Source organism: Homo sapiens, chromosome 1, assembly GCF_000001405.40.
Source record: "Homo sapiens chromosome 1, GRCh38.p14 Primary Assembly".
NCBI lineage: Eukaryota > Metazoa > Chordata > Mammalia > Primates > Hominidae > Homo > Homo sapiens.
Window position 1 is genome coordinate 27,999,778 of NC_000001.11, and position 16,419 is coordinate 28,016,196.

Here is a 16,419-nt window from a genome sequence, read left to right on the forward strand (position 1 = left end):
CTGTGGTGACCCAACCACAAGTACTATTTCTCTAAGACTATGTATGTATGCCTTAGTGGCCAGCTGGCCTCTCCATATCCACCCTATCTAAACACATATCTTCTAATATAATAAGCAAAAGCTCTAAATAGTTATTGAATGAAGTGTCTCAGTGAAGCACAGAAACAATTTAAAATGCTTACCTCTAAGTCATTGAAAAATAGATGAGTATCAGCCACTTCAAAAATCATTTCTTCCATTGTTAAACCTGAGCCAATCACTACTGTTGGGTCCTAGAAGACAATAAGAAAAAATCAGCTTGACTTGGTAGTCACAGTCCTGGTTCTAATCTTCAAATTTCAAAATTATTTTAGGTCAAGGCCAAAACACACGAGCTCCCAACTGTGCTTCAAACTATCATTGATGCAATTTCATTCACAGTTATGAGAATCCAGGATTGTAAAATAGAGAAGATATGGACAGTTAAAAATTTCAGGACTTTAGTTTCTAGAAATTAGTAGTTTCATAAAGATAAATGAGGACAGAAAATATGATTTTTTTTTTCTTTTTTTTTGAGACGGAGTCTCACTCTGTCGCCCAGGCTGGAGTGCAGTGGTGCAATCTTGGCTCACTGCAAGTTCTGCCTCCCAGGTTCATGCCATTCTCCTGCCTCAGCCTCCCGAGTAGCTGGGACTACAGGCATCCGCCACCACGCCTGGCTAATTTTTTGTATTTTTAGTAGAGACAGGGTTTCACTATGTTAGCCAGGATGGTCTTGATCTCCTAACCTTGTGATCCACCCCCGTCGGCCTCCCAAAGTGCTGGGATTACAGGTGTGAGCCACCGCACCTGGCCAGAAAATATGTTTTTAAAAAGATACAATGCTGACCAGGCAAGGTAGCTAGCTCACACCTGTCATCTCAGCACTTTGGGAGGCTGAGGCGGGAAGATTGCTTAAGGCTAGGAATTCTAGACTAGCTGGGGCAACAAAGCAAGACCCCCGTCTCCACAAAAAATAAAATTTGGCCGGGTACAGTGGCTCACGCCTGTAATCCTAGCACTTTGGGAGTCCAAGGCAGGTGGACTGCTCGAGCCCAGGAGTTTGAGACTAGCCTGGGCAACATGGTGAAACCATGTCTCTACAAAAGTAAACACAGAAATAGCTGGGCATGGTGGTGCACACCTGCAGTCCCAGGTACTTGGAAGGCTGAGGTGGGAGAATCACTTGAACCCAGGAAACAGAGGTTGCAGTAAGCTGAGACTGCACCACTGCACTCCAGCCTGCGTGACAGAGTGAGACTCTGTCTCAAAGTGTGTACGTGTGTTTGTGTATTTATACACATATCTATATCACTGTATATATTTATATAAGATATATACATTATATATACACAGTAATATATAATTTATATAAACTATATCACTATGTAAATATATTCACATATTATATGAATATACTTATTACATTATTTTAATATATATTTTATATAATAATATATATGATACAAGATATATACATTGTATTTTCACGTTCAGGTCTTCTGACTCCCAGTCCTGTGCTCTTCCCATTATATCTTCTTCAGCTCAAAGGTGAACTTAAATGTCAAAGCCAAAAATTTCACCATGAAGCTTAGTGTTTGTTTATAATGTAAAAAACTGTTTTTCATGAAATAATATTATGTGTATATGTAAATATATAAAATTTTTTTTTGCCAGGCGCAGTGGCTCACGCCTGTAATCGCAGCACTTTGGGAGGCCAAGGCAGGTGGATCATGAGGTCAGGGGATCAAGACCATCCTGGCTAACGTGGTGAATCCCCATCTCTACTAAAAATTAGCTGGGCATGGTGACGGGCACCTGTAGTCCCAGCCACTCAGGGGACTGAGGCAGGAGAATAGCGTGAACCTGGGAGGTGGAGCTTGCAGTGAGCAGAGATCGCACCATGGCACCCCAGCCTGGGTGACAGAGCGAGACTCTGTCTCAAAAAAAAAAAAAAAAAAGTCTCGCTCTGTCACCCAGGCTGGAGTGCTGCGGCGCGATCTCGGCTCACTGCAACCTCCACCTCCCAGGTTCAAGTGATCCTCCTGCCTCAGCCTCCCTAGTAGCTGGGATTACAGGCATGTGCCACCATGCCCGGCTAATTTTTGAATTTTTATTTTATTTTATTTATTTTTTTGAGACGGAATTTCGCTCTTGTTGCCCAGGCTGGAGTGCAATGGTGCGATCTCAGCTCACCGCAACCTCCGCCTCCCAGGTTCAAGCGATTCTCCTGCCTCATCCTCTCTAGTAGCTGGAATTATAGGCATGTGCCACCACGCCCAGCTAATTTTGTATTTTTAGTAGAGACGGGGTTTCTCCATGTTGGTCAGGCTGGTCTCGAACTCCTGACCTCAGCTGATCTGCCCTCCTCGGCCTCCCAAAGTGCTGGGATTACAGGTGTGAGCCACCGCACCCGGCAATTTTTGTATTTTTAGTAGAGATGGGGTTTCACCCTGTTGGCCAGGCTGGTCTCGAATTCCTGGCCTCAGGTGATCCACCCGCCTTGGCCTCCCAAAGTGCTGGGATTACAGGCGTGAGCCACCATGCCTGGCCAATATATAAAATTTTTATACACATTTTGGGATTACAGATGAGAGCCACCACGCCTGGTCTTATTTTATAAATATATATATAATTTTTTTAATTTTATATATTTTTATAATCAGTTTAGTTATATAGCTTATGTCAGCATGCCAGACTAGACACTAAAAGCCTGTAGAAAATACTAACAGAGGCTGGGTATAGAAGCTCATGCCTATAATCACAGCACTTTGGGAGACTGAGGCAGGAGAATCACTTGAGCCTCAGATTTCAAGATGAGACTGGGCAACATGGCGAGATCCCATCTCTACAAAAATAAAACAAAATTAGCCGGGTATGGTGGCATGTGCCTGTAGTCCCAGATACCTGGAGGACTGAGGCAGGAGGATTGCTTTAGCTCAAGAGATCGAAGCTGCAGTGAGCTGTGTTTGCGCCACTGTACTCCAGCCTGCATGACAGAGCGAGATATTATCTCAGGAGAAAAAAAAAACACAAACCTCCTGGCCAAGCACAGTGGCTCACACCTGTAATCCCAGCACTTTGGAAGACCGAGGCAGGCGGATCACTTGAGGCTGGAGTTCGAGTCCAGCCTTGCCAACATGGTAAAACCCTGTCTCTACTAAAAGTACAAAAATTAGGGCTGGGCGCAGTGGCTCACGCTTGTAATCCCAGCATTTTGGGAGGCCGAGGTGGGCGGATCACGAGGTCAGGAGATCAAGACCATCCTGGCTAACACGGTGAAACCCTGTCTCTACTAAAAATACAAAAAAAAAAAAAAAAAAAATTAGCTGGGCGTGGTGGCAGGCGCCTGTAGTCCTAGCTACTGGGGAGGCTGAGGCAGGAGAATGGCGTGGACCCAGGAGGCACAGCTTGCAGTGAGCTGAGATCACGCCATTGCACTCCAGCCCAGGTGACACAGCGAGACTCCGTCTCAAACAACAACAACAACAACAACAACAACAACAACAACAACAACAACAAAATTAGCCAGGCATGGTAACGGGCACCTGTAATCCTAGCTACTTGGGATGCTGAGGGAGGAGAATCATTTGAACCCGAGAGGCAGAGGTTGCAGTGAGCAGAGATCATGCTACTGTACTCCAGCCTGGGTGACAAGAGCAAGACTCTCTCTCAAAAAACAAACAAACAAACAAACAAACAAAAAAACCCACACCTACTAACAAAAACATTAGTAACCATATGAAATAACTGGAAGTAACAGGACAGGTAAAGGAGGCAAATATTTTTATTTTTAGAGATGGGGTCTCGCTAAGTTGCCCAAGCTGGATTCGAACTCCTAGGCTCAAGCAATCTTCCCACCTCAGCTTCCTGAGTAGTTGAGACTACAGGTGCATGCCACTGCACCTGGCTGGGGTGCAGATATTTGTATAAAATTTATTCATATAAACTGAAAAACATGAGCTTGGAGGTAATTTAGAATAGAAATACACAGCCTAATAGTCTCAAAACAGCCCATCCTTCTGTTAAAACTGATATGTACACTGAAGATATAACAAGTTTTGCTTGGTGTATTTAGTTTAAAAAGGGATTAATCTATTTTAGAAAGATATTTTATCTATATATTTTACTTATATATATCTGGCATATATTTGGCTAAATAAAATGCTCAATTTGGGCTGTTAAAAGTGTGTTAAGGAATAAGACATCAGCCTCTGGAATTTATTAATATAATCTTGAGACTCTGCTCTATTTTGAGCCTCATTTCTATACTTTAATCTTCACAAAATGCCATTCTCCTACAACTTCAGCTTTCAGCATTGGTTCTAGTAGTTTCTAACTTTACCACTTTACCATCAATTCTGCCTGACCATGTAGCCTGCCTAATACAAGCCATTTGCAAGCCATTTGTTGAAGTTTTACATGGAAAGTGAAAAGCCAGCCAACAGGGGTAGCAGAGAAATAATTTGTTATGTGTCAGAAGAGGGACTGACTATATAGTCAGAAGAGGGACAGTTACAACAAAGAAGACTCAAATTACCTTTCCATATTTCTGGGCATAGGATCCAGTAAGAAGTGAGTGGAAGATGATGATGGTTTCATCCAAGTCCCACAGAAATACCCGCTGAGGAAAGAAAATATAAAAAATGAGTATATTTTCCAATTACAATGGAATGAAACCAGAAATCAATAACAGAAAGAGAACTGGGAAATTCATAAATATGTAGGAATTAAACAATACAATCCTAAACAACCAATGCGTCAAAGAAGAAATCATAAGTGAAATCAGAATATACCTTGAGTTGAATGAAAACAGAAATAAAACATTAAATTTGTGGAATACAGTGAAAGCAGTGCTAAGAGGAAAAATTATAGCTTATTTTATATATATGTATTACATTTTACATATATATATGTATTTTATACATACATTAAAAAAGACAAATGATCCCAAATCTATGACCTAATTGCATATCTTAAGAAACTAGAAAAACAGCAAAATAAACATAAAGCTAGCAGTAGGAAGGAAATAACAATGGCTAGAGCAGAGATAAATAGAAGAGAGACTACAAAAACAACAGAGAAAAATCAATGAAACAAAAAGTTGGTTCTTTGAAAATATCTATAAAATTCACAACCTTTGGCTAAATTGACTAAGGGAAAAAAAAGAAGATTCAAATGACTAAAATCAGAAATGAAAGTGGGGACATCACTACCAGTTTTATAGAAATAAGGATTACAAGAGAATACTATGCACAGTTGTATACCAAGAGATTGGATAACCCAGGTGAAATGGTCAAATTCCTAGAAATACATAGCATAAAGTACCAAAACTGTCTCAAGAAGGAATACAAAATCCGGTAAGAGCTATAACTAGAGTAAGGAGATTGAATGCATAATTAAAAACATCCCAACAAAGAAAAGCCCAAGACAAGATGGTTTTAATGGTGAGTTCTTCCAAACATTTACAGAATTAACACGAATCCTCCTTAAACTCTTACAAAAAAAGGAAGAGGAGGGAATACTTCCTGACTAATGCAATGAGGCATTATCCTGATACCAAAGTCAGACTAAGGCACTGTAAGAAAACTACAGACCAACATCTCTTGTGAAAATCAATATAAAAATACTCAACAGGCCAGGCACAGTGGCTCACACCTGTAAACCTAGCACTGTGAGAGCCTGAAGCAGGCAGATCGCTTGAGCCCAGGAGTTTGAGACCAGCCTGGACAACATGGCAAAACACCGTCTCTACAAAAAAACACAAAAATTACCCAGTTCCGGTGGTGCATGCCGGTAGTCCCAGCTACTTGGGAGGCTGAGGCGGGAGGATCACTTGGGCGTGGGAAGTCAAGGATGCAGTGTGCAGGGACCACACCACTGCACTCCAGTCTGGGCAACGAAGTGAGAACCTGTCTCAAAAAAAACCCAAAAAACAAAAAACCCCCAAAAAACCACACATCTATAAAACTAAACAAAATAGAGGTAAACCAAATTCAGCAGCATATTAAAAGAATTAAACATCATGGCCGGGCATGGTGGCTCATGCCTATAATTCCAGCACTTTGTGAGGCCAAGGCAGGAGGATCACCTGAGGTCAGGAGTTCGAGACCAGCCTGGCCAACCTGGTGAAACCTCGTCTCTACTAAAAATACAAAAATTAGCTGGGTGTGGTGGTGCACACTTGTAGTCCCAGCTACTTGGGAGGCTGAGGCAGGAGAATCACTTGAACCCAGGAGGCAGAGGTTGCAGTGAGCTGAGATTGTGCCACTGCACTCCAGTGTGGGCAACAGAGAGAGGTTCTGTCTCAAAAAAAAAAAAAGAATTAAACATCATAACCAAGTGAGATTAGTTCTCAGAACATAAGGATGTAAGGATGGTTCATTCAACATTAAAAAATTAATTAGGAGTGCAAAAGGCTTATTGGAAAAAAAAATTATGCAAAGTAATGCATCACATTAATAGAACAGAGGGGGAAAAAGCTACATGATAATCTCAACTGATGCAGAAAATGCATTTGACAACATTCAACACCCTTTCTATTCCTAGTTTATTATTTTTTCAATAAATGAGGGATAGAAGGGAATGTTATCAATATGATAAAGGCCATATATAAAAAATCCATAACTAGCCGGGCGCGGTGGCTCACGCCTGCAATCCCAGCACTTTGAGAGACTGAAGCAGGTGGATCACAAGGTCAGGAGATAGAGACCATCCTCGCTAACATGGTGAAACCCCATCTCTACTAAAAACACAAAAAATTAACCGGGTGTGGTGGCACGCGCCTGTAATCCCAGCTACTCAGGAGTCCGAGGCAGGAGAATCGCTTGAACCTGGGAAGCGGAGGTTGCAGTGAGCTGAGATCATGCCACTGCACTCCAGACTGGGTGACAGAGCATGACTCCATCTCCAAAAAATAAATAAAAAATAAATAAAAATAAAAATAAATCCATAACTAGTACCACACCTAGTGGTGAAAGACTGAAAGTTTTACTCCTGAGACAAGGATGTCTGTTTTTGCCACTTCTATTCAACATAGTACTGGAAGTTCTAGCCAGAGAGATTTGGCAAGAAAGGGGAAAAAGACATCCAATTTGGAAAGGAAGAAGCAAAATTATCTGTTTGCAGATGACATAATCTTTTTTTTTTTTTTTTTTTTTTTTGAGAAAGAGTGTCGCTCTGTCACCCAGGCTGAAGTGTAGTGGTGCAATCTGGGCTCACTGCAACCTCCACCTCCTAGGTTCAAGCGATTCTCCTGCCTCAGCCTCCCAAGTAGCTGGGATTACAGGTGTGCACCACCAGGTCCGGCTAATTTTTTTTTATTTTTGTACTTTCAGTAGAGACAGGGTTTTGCCACGTTGACCAGGCTGGTCTCAAATTCCTGACCTCAGGTGATCTGCCCACAAAGTGCTGGGATTAGAGGCGTGAGCCACTGTCCCTGGCCGATGTGATCTTATATGTAGAAAACCTTAAATAACCCAGAGAAAATTGTTAAAGCTAATAAATAAATTCAGATATCAGCTGTATTTCTTTCTTTCTTTCTTTTTTTTTTTTTTTCCGAGACAGTCTTGCTCTGTCACCCAGGCTGGAGTGCAGTGGTACGATCTCGGCTCACTGCAACCTCCGCCTCCCAGGTTGAAGCAGTTCTCTTGCCTTAGCCTCCCGAGTAGCTGGGGTTACAGGCGCCTGCCACCATGCCCGTCTAATTTTTGTATTTTTAGTAGAGACGGGGTTTCACCATGTTGGTCAGGCCGGTCTTGAACTCCTGACCTTGTGATCTGCCCACCTCAGCCTCCCAAAGTGCTGGGATTACAGACTGAGCCACTGCGCCCGGCCAATCAGCTGTATTTCTATATACTTGCAATGAATAATTTGAAAAGGAAATTTAAAAACCTTTTGTGATAGCATCAAAAAGAAAATACTTAGGAATAAATTTAACCAAGTAGGCATAGCTAAATAAACGGAAAGACATCCATGTTCATGGATTAGAAGACTTAATATTGTAAAGAAGACAATACTACCCAAACCAACCTACAAATTCAACGCAATCCCTATCAAAATCCAATAGTAGTTTTTTAAAAAAATAGAAAATTGCATTCTAAAATTCTTATGAATCTCAAGGAACCCCAAATAGCCAAAACTGTCTTGAAATAGAACAAAGTTGAAGGATTCACACTTCCTGATTTCAAAACTTACAGTAACCAAAACAGTGTGGTACTAGCATAAGGATAGACATAGAGACGAATGAAATAAACCGAGAGTCTAAAAATAAAGCCTTACAAATATGATCAATTTTTCTTTTTCTTTTTTTAGTTTAGTTTTTTACCTTCTTTTAGTATTTAACCTACAGCCAACATCATAAGTTAATTTTTAATAGGATGCCAAAACCATTCAATAAGGAACGTCTTTTCAACAAATAGTGCTGGGAAAACTGGATATCCATATGCAAAATAATAAAGTTAGACCATTATCTTACACCATATACAAAACTAACTCAAAATGGAGAACAGCCTAAATTTAAGAGCTAAACGATGAAAATCTCAGAAAAAATACATAAAAATCTTCATAACCGTGTATTAAGTATTACACCAAGAAAACAAAACAAAACAAAAAGAAACAACAAGTATTAGACCAAAAGCACAGCAATAATAGAAATCAGACTTCCTAAACATTAAAAATTTTTGTGCTTCAAAGCACAAAAATTGAGAGAGTGAAAAGACGACCTACAGAATGGGAGAAAATATTTGAAGATTATATATCTGATTAATATAAGGGATTAATAATCTAGAATATTCTAGAATATTAATATAGAATATACAAAGAACTCCTACAACTCAACAATGAAAAACCAAACAACCCAGTTTAAAAGTGGGCAAAGGTTCTCATGCTTGTAATCCCAGCACTTTGGGAGGCTGAGGTGGGTGGATCACCTGAGGTCAGCAGTTCAAGACCAGCCTGGCCAACATGGTGAAACCCCGTCTCTACTAAAAATACAAAAATTAACCAGGCGTGGTGGCATGTGCCTGTAATCCCAGCTACTCAGGAGGCTGAGGCACAAGAATTGCTTGAACCTGGGAGGCAGAGGTTGCAATGAGCCGAGATTGTGCCACTGCACTAGGGAAATGCAAATCAAAGCCACAATAAGATACCACTTCACATCCATTAGAATAGCTATTATCAAAAAAATGGGAAATAACAAGTGTTGGCGAGGATGTGAACAAACTGGAACCTTTATGTATCGCTGGTAAGAGTATAAAACCGTGCAGCCACAATGAAAAATAGTTTGGTGGTTTCTCAAAAAGTGGAGCACAGAATTACAATAGCATCCAGCAATTCCACTCCTACATATATACCAAAAAGAATTGATAAGATGAACTCAGATAGATAATTGTACACCAATGGTCAAAGCAGCATTACTCACAATAGCACAAAGGTGACAAACCCCAAGTGTCCATCAACAGATGAATGGATAAACAAAATGTGGTATATACATATAATAAAATATTCAGACATAAAAAGGAATGAAATTCTGGTATGTGCTACAACATGGATGAACCTTAAAAACATTATGGTAGGCAGGGCATGGTGGCTCACGTCTGTAATCCCAGCACTATGGGAGGCCGAGGCAGGCGGATCACGAGGTCAGGAGTTTAAGAACAGACTGACCAACATGTTGAAACCCTGTCTCTACTAAAAATACAAAAATTAGCCAGGCATGGTGGTGTGCACCTATAATCCCAGCTACTCTGGAGGCTGAGGCAGGAGAATCACTTGAACCCGGGAGGCAGAGGTCACGGTAAGCCGAGATCGTGCCACTGCACTCCAGCCTGAGACTCCATCTCAAAACAACAACAACAACAACAACAACAACAAAAAACCATTATGGTAAATGAAATAAGTCTGGCACAAAAGGATACATTTTCTGTGATTCCACTTATATGAGATATCTAGAATAAGAAGTCAAAGACAGAAAGTAGAATAGAGGTTACCAGAGGTTAGAAGAAGGGGAGAATGGGGAGTTACTGCTTAATGGGTACAGAGTTTTCATTTGGAATCATGAAAAAGTTCTAGAAATATACAGTGGTGATGGTTAGACAATATTGAGAATGTATAATGACACTAAATTGTACACTTAAAAATGGCTAAAATGGTAAATTTTATGTATATTTTAGACAATTAAAAAATGAGTTATCAGTTTTTCCTAAGAAATATATCAGAAATTTACTTTTTCTTTCTTTCTTCTTCACTCCAAACCTCTGAAAAAAGAGAAAAGGCTTCAAATACAGGCTCAGTTCACCTATGTCTTAAGAGCACTTATCAATGGATTCATAGTTAAATATGTATTTTCCCCTCAGTACATAATAGCACTATAGAAAAACGGAAAACAGAAAACAAAAAGATAATACAAAAACTCCACTAATTTTAGCACTCTGCATGACCTTTATGTCTTTAATGATGAAGTCAAATGTATGTCCATAATAAACTCATATAGTACTTACACTACAGAATAAATCAGCACCAGTCTCATTAATAAGTTACCAGATCTGTTTGCGCCTTACAGAAACTTGGCTAAAAGCACTCTAGTCCTTTCCTTTTAAATTTCTTTTCTTTTTGAGACAGAGTCTCACTCTGTTGCCCTGGCTGGAGTGCAGTGGCCCGATCATAGCTCACTGCAGCCTCAACCTGCCAGGCTCAAGTGATCCTCCCATCTCAGCCTCCCAAGTAGGTGGGACTACAGGTGTGCAGCTAATTCTTGTATATATATATTTTTAGAGATGGGGGTCTCACTATGTTGCCTAGGCTGGTCTCAAGCGATCCTCCCGCTTCAGCCTCCCAAAGTGCTGGGATTACAGATGTAAGCCACCGCACCTGACCCTTTTAAAATTTTAAATAGAGAACAGTATGACTTTACTTGTAACTCCCTCTGCTTTCTGAATATGATGAATTGTTTCTGTTCTCTTCTGGAATATACAGAATAATTTGTTCTTTTTACATTTTTCTTTTAACGTGGCCAATTTAGTTTATTTTGCTCAGGAATTAAAGGGCACATAACATAGTGCACATTATCTCTGTGAGCTTCAAAAACATGTTTGATAAACTTAAGAAGTGAGAAAGAACAAAGTAGGTAACTAAATCAGTTTCTTCTCATACTTCTAATTCACTGTCTTGGGAAGAAGTGGCATCAGCTTTCCTCTTGCCCCGGTTCTTGCTAGTCATGTTTTTCCTGGACTGATCATCAGTATCTTTACTTGGTGTAGTCTGGGACAAAGATGGACTTGTAGAAGGGTCTCCTGGAAAGAAAAAGTGAAACATATGTTGTCAGGAGTCACAGGCTATAAGAATCAGGGCAGGAAGAGGGTTAGTGGACTCTCTGCCCTTGTGAGTCATAATGCAGGGATAAAGGTTGGAAAGCTAAACCTTATGTAAGCAATTATGAAGTGTACATCTAGGCATTGAGCATCAGCACTGGCTAACATCAGAAAAGTTATAACCAGACTTTATATGCTTACCCCATGATAGAAGAAAATATCAATGAAGTTGTTTTGCCAAGAAAAAGCTGAACCTGAATCTTCATGGTCAAACTTGTAGATTAGAGTTTCTCAACCTGGCACAACTGACATTTTGGATCAGATAATTATTTGTTGTGGGGGGATGTCTTGTGCATTATAGGATGTTTGGTTAAGCAGTATCCTTAGCATCTACCCACTAGATGCCAGAAGCACCGCCCCACCTAGTGTAACAACCAAAAATGTTTCCATACATTGCCAACAGTTGAAAACAACTGTTCATTCACCAATTTACTATAAAATACAGAAGGCAGCAGGACATGTTAAACCACCTTATGAGGATATAACTGTCAAAATTCAGACTGGGAAACAGTATGGGATCAACACTCCAGTTTCTTCAACAAACAAACTACAAGGGGGAGAAAAAGAGACGGGAGGATTTATAGGTTAAAATAGAGATGAAACACAAAATACCCATAATTACCAATCACAATTTATGGACCTTATATTTGGATCCTAATTTTCCCTCCTCAAATTTTCTATTTATTTATTATTTCTATTTACTAATGCGATAAAAACTGTATATGCTTTATGTTGTTTTGAAATATGTATACACTGTGGAATGGGTTGGATCCTACTTTAAACAAAAGGGAAACAAAACTCATAACATTTATGAGAAAGCTGGAAATACAAATACATTTTGGTACTTGATAATACAAAATTAAGACATTATTAATATTGAACTTTTAAAGATGGGATAATGCCATTGTGGTTATGTTAATAAGTACCATACTTATCTTTTAGAGAACAATGCCTGGAATCTGGGGAGGGAGCTAGATGATGTATAGCTGAAACAAAATTGTCTATAAGTTGATAACTGTTGAAGATGAATGATGGATATGTAAGTGTTCATCACACTAGCCTTGCAACTTTTCTCTATGTTTGAAATTCTCCAATATTCAAAAGTTAAAATTGTTATAACAAAGATATTTAGAAAAATGACTTTAAAACCTTAGTTTTTAATCAACACTTGTAATTATTTCAAATTTATGTAAGTTTGAAGTGGCGACCATTTGTATGTCCACTTATTAGACTGGTAGGGTGACCGCACAGAAAACTGTTCACTTGTTATATAGTACTGTTTCTAAACATGCATCAGTGCCAATGATAAACAGTGCTTTCCTCGAACCACATGATGTGAAAGCCAACTACCAAATTTTCATTAAATATAAATAAAAAGTGTGTGTATATATATGTTTATTAAATGTGTGTCTAATCTTTTATGTCAAAGGTTTTTAAGTTGGACACTGTAATTCATTGATACACTTCAGAGCTGTGAGCATACTGAAATTGTAGGTTAAATTGTATATATTTCTCTGAGGGAAAAGGACCATGCTTTCCTCAGAATCTTAAAGGGATCCTGGACATAGAAAGAACTATGGCTCTGAGGCCTTAGCAGCAGTTCAAAACCTGCGCAAGACTAAAACTGGAGTCCTCCAACTTTTACAAAATATTATAACATGCTGAAGCTCCCTGTGGCAAGTGGGTTAAAGCTACAGGGAGGGTAGAGTACGAGTCAGAAAGAGTCTTTTAGTTCTTGATACTTTTCTGTTCCGTTCTCAGCATCAGGTATACATTCAGCCTACCAATGACTCACAGCCTGCTTCCAATACTCCTCACCTCAGAGGGAAAGCCAAAAGCATGGTAACAATGACTTAAGACAGAACAAAATCATCCTTACCATTGCCTAAAAACAACTGTTGGATGAAGTGACCTTAAGCCAAAGTTTTCAGAGCTGCGGTGCTTACCAGAGGAAAGTCTCTGTGCTGCAGGTGCAGGCGCCATGACACTAGGCTTCTCCGACTGGTATGTGGTTGCTGCTAATGTGGTGCTCTCTGCATCACTGTTAGTCTGACCTGTGACTCCAAAGCTGGAGCTGGGGTAGCAGGCCTGGTACTGATTCTGACCAAGAATAGTATAGGTGGGATAATCCTGCAGGCCAAAGGAAATAAGAAAACAAGACTCTTATAGCATACATTAATCTCAACACAAGAGGCTTTCTTCTCCCTCTTTCTTATTCATAATTATTTTTCTAAAACATTAATTTGACTTCTCATTTACCTACCTAAAAGTCTCCAATCTAAATCAATGATTTTCAAAATGCATTCTGTGGAAACCTAAGTCAAGAGATGTCCCAGGAGCAGTCTTGGAATGAGGAAATGCTGAGAGGGAAGGGTCTTCTGTACTCTCATAAACATACACATGGTGTCCCTTTTTGTACTCTAACAGCCTCTTCCCCCAGTTTTATGTACCGAATTTCTGCACAGAATTTGAGGGAAAGATTCTACTCTAAGAGGTTTACAAACTGTTGCACTAGATAATAGCACTTCTAAGGACAACAAAACAAAACTTAAACTTAAGCAAACAAAAAAAGCACATATCCTACATTAAAATGTCTTAATTTAAAAACTGATTATCAGCTGGGTGCAGTGGCTCATGCCTGTAATCTCAGCACTTTGGAAGGCCAAGATGGGTGGATCACTTGAGGTCAGGAGTTCAAGACCAGCCTGACCAACATGGTGAAACCCTGTTTCTACTAAAAATACAAAAATTAGCCTGGCGTGGTGGCACATGCCTGAAATCCCAGCTACTTGGGAGGCTAAGGCACAAGAATCGCTTGAACCTGGAAAGCGGAGGTTGCAGTGAGCCGAGATTGCATCACTGCACTCCAGCCTGGGTGACAAAGCGAGACCCTGTCTCAAAACAAAACAAACAAAAAACAACCTGATTATCTACCTAAAACAATCAAGTTTTCTTTAAAAATAGTTTCCTGGCCGGGAACAGTGGCTTACGCCTGTAATCCCAGCACTTTGGGAGGACGAGGTGGGAGGATCGCATGAGCTCAGGAGTTTGAGACCAGCCTAGCCAAAATAGTGAGACCTTCTCTCTACTAAAAATACAAACAAACAAACAAAAATCCAGGCATGGTGATGCACGCCTGTGGTCTCAGCTATTCGGGAAGCTGAGATGGGAGGATAACTTGAGCCCAGGGGGCAAAGGTTGCAATGAACCAAGACTGCACCACTGCACTCTAGCCTAGGTGACACACTGTCTCAAAAAAAAAAAAAAAAAAAAAAAAAAAAGGCCAGGCACGGGAGCTCACGCCTATAATTCCAGCACTTTGGGAGGCTGAGGCAGGCAGATCACATGAGGTCAGGAGTTTGAGACCAGCCTGACCAACATGGCGAAACCCAGCCCCTACTAAAAATACAAAAATTAGCCAGGTATGGTGGCATGCACCTGTAGTCCCAGCTACTAGGGAAGATGAGGCAGGAGAATCGCTTGAATCTGGGAGACAGAGGTTGCAGTGAGCTGAGATCATACCACTGCATTCCAGACTGGGCAACAGAGCAAGACTCTGTCTCAAAAAAAAAAAAAGGTTTCTTAAAATATTGGGATAAAACTTTTGGTTTCATAGGCACATATATGGCAAAACTTACTAAACTGTACAATTTAAATCTGTGTAGTTTACTGTATGTCAATTACTCCCTAATAAAGCTGTAAAAAAACTAGGTATGACAGTTCAAATACGCAGCTAAAAAAATTCCATTGACACTGATAATGATGGCAAGTAGGAAAAAGCTAACTGATCAGATACATTATTTCTAATTAGTCATTGGGTATCTCTACCATAAACCAAATATAATTATATGTATGTGTGTATTTGTGCATGGGCAGAAGAAGGAAATATTAAAGAAAAGAATAAGTCACACTAGCAGAACTCAAGGGAGTTAAAAATCTAGCAGGAGAGAAGACAGACAACAAAATGGCAATAAAATATATGTCAAATGACTGAAATACAGAACAGACAACTATCATTGTAAAGTATGATGGTGAAGAAGCTTTCTGAGATTAATAGGCAGAGAAAGTAAGAACATGAATAGGCTCTGAGGAGATTTTATTCAGGGACCACAGATGCTGAGTCTGGTTGAAACAAAGGACCTCTGTAGGCCTGAATGATTGGTAAAGCAATAAGACTTGGATTCTTTAGGCAATAGTATATAGCCTGTGGGCTAGGGAATAGGGAATGGGGACTCTCAAATTCAAACCAACGAATAAAAACATGAAAAGAAGGAGAATGGCGTGAACCCGGGAGGCGGAGCTTGCAGTGAGCAGAGATTGCGCCACTGCACTCTGGCCTGGGTGACAGAGCGAGACTCTGTCTCAAAAAACAAACAAACAAACAAAAAACATGAAAATATTCTGAGCAGGTCAGTAACATGACAAAAAGTGGGATTTAGAAAAAATTAATGAGATAGTATTTTAGAGAATGAACAGGCACAAGGGGGAAAAAACTGGAAATAAAATGAGCAATTAACTATGGTAATTCAGGATTAAAAGGGAAAATACCAAAACATTGGAGACGATAGCAAAAAGCAAAAGAAATTCTTCTCAAAGATTTTGAGAAATGACCAGATTGGGTAAGGTTGTGAGAAAAATAATGGAAGATATCTGGTCTGGTTTTAGGCCTAGGTTTATTAAGAAAAATGTAGTATCACTAATAAGAATTAAGAAGTCAGGGAAAAGTGGTTTTACTTCTGGAAGACAAAGAGACATAAAAAGGGCTGGAATAAAAGTCTGATTTTACATATGTTGAACTTAGGGAAACAGCAAGACATTAAAGAAAAAAATGTCAATCAGTTGGAAGCTGTAATTATCATGAGGGAGGATTAGAATCTTTGGTGACAGTAAATGGACATTATGTGGTTAAACATCCCTGTGGATGAAGTAATTAACATGTGGAAAAACCAAATAGAGACTGTCCACGTTCAAAGACAGGGTCAAAAAGAAGAGCTATGAGAGAGAAAGAGACAGTCCTTAGAAAAATACCAGG

General features: G+C 39.8%; 1 protein-coding gene across 17 annotated transcripts in view; it reads right to left on the reverse strand.

Moving 5' to 3' along the window:
• EYA3 (EYA transcriptional coactivator and phosphatase 3) overlaps positions 1–16,419 on the reverse strand; it is a 118,267-nt gene that overhangs the window by 29,434 nt on the left and 72,414 nt on the right. For all 17 annotated transcript variants that reach the window (NR_104214.2, XR_007096080.1, NM_001282562.2 and 14 more), the window contains 4 exons: positions 13,334–13,517; positions 11,170–11,309; positions 4,559–4,642; positions 183–272 (listed from right to left, as the gene is read on the reverse strand). Coding sequence is in view for 15 of the 17 variants with exons in the window: in NM_001282562.2 (NP_001269491.1) it covers positions 183–272; positions 4,559–4,642; positions 11,170–11,309; positions 13,334–13,517 (498 nt within the window). In the remaining 2 variants the exon portion in view is untranslated. The remainder of the gene's footprint in view (positions 1–182; positions 273–4,558; positions 4,643–11,169; positions 11,310–13,333; positions 13,518–16,419) is intronic.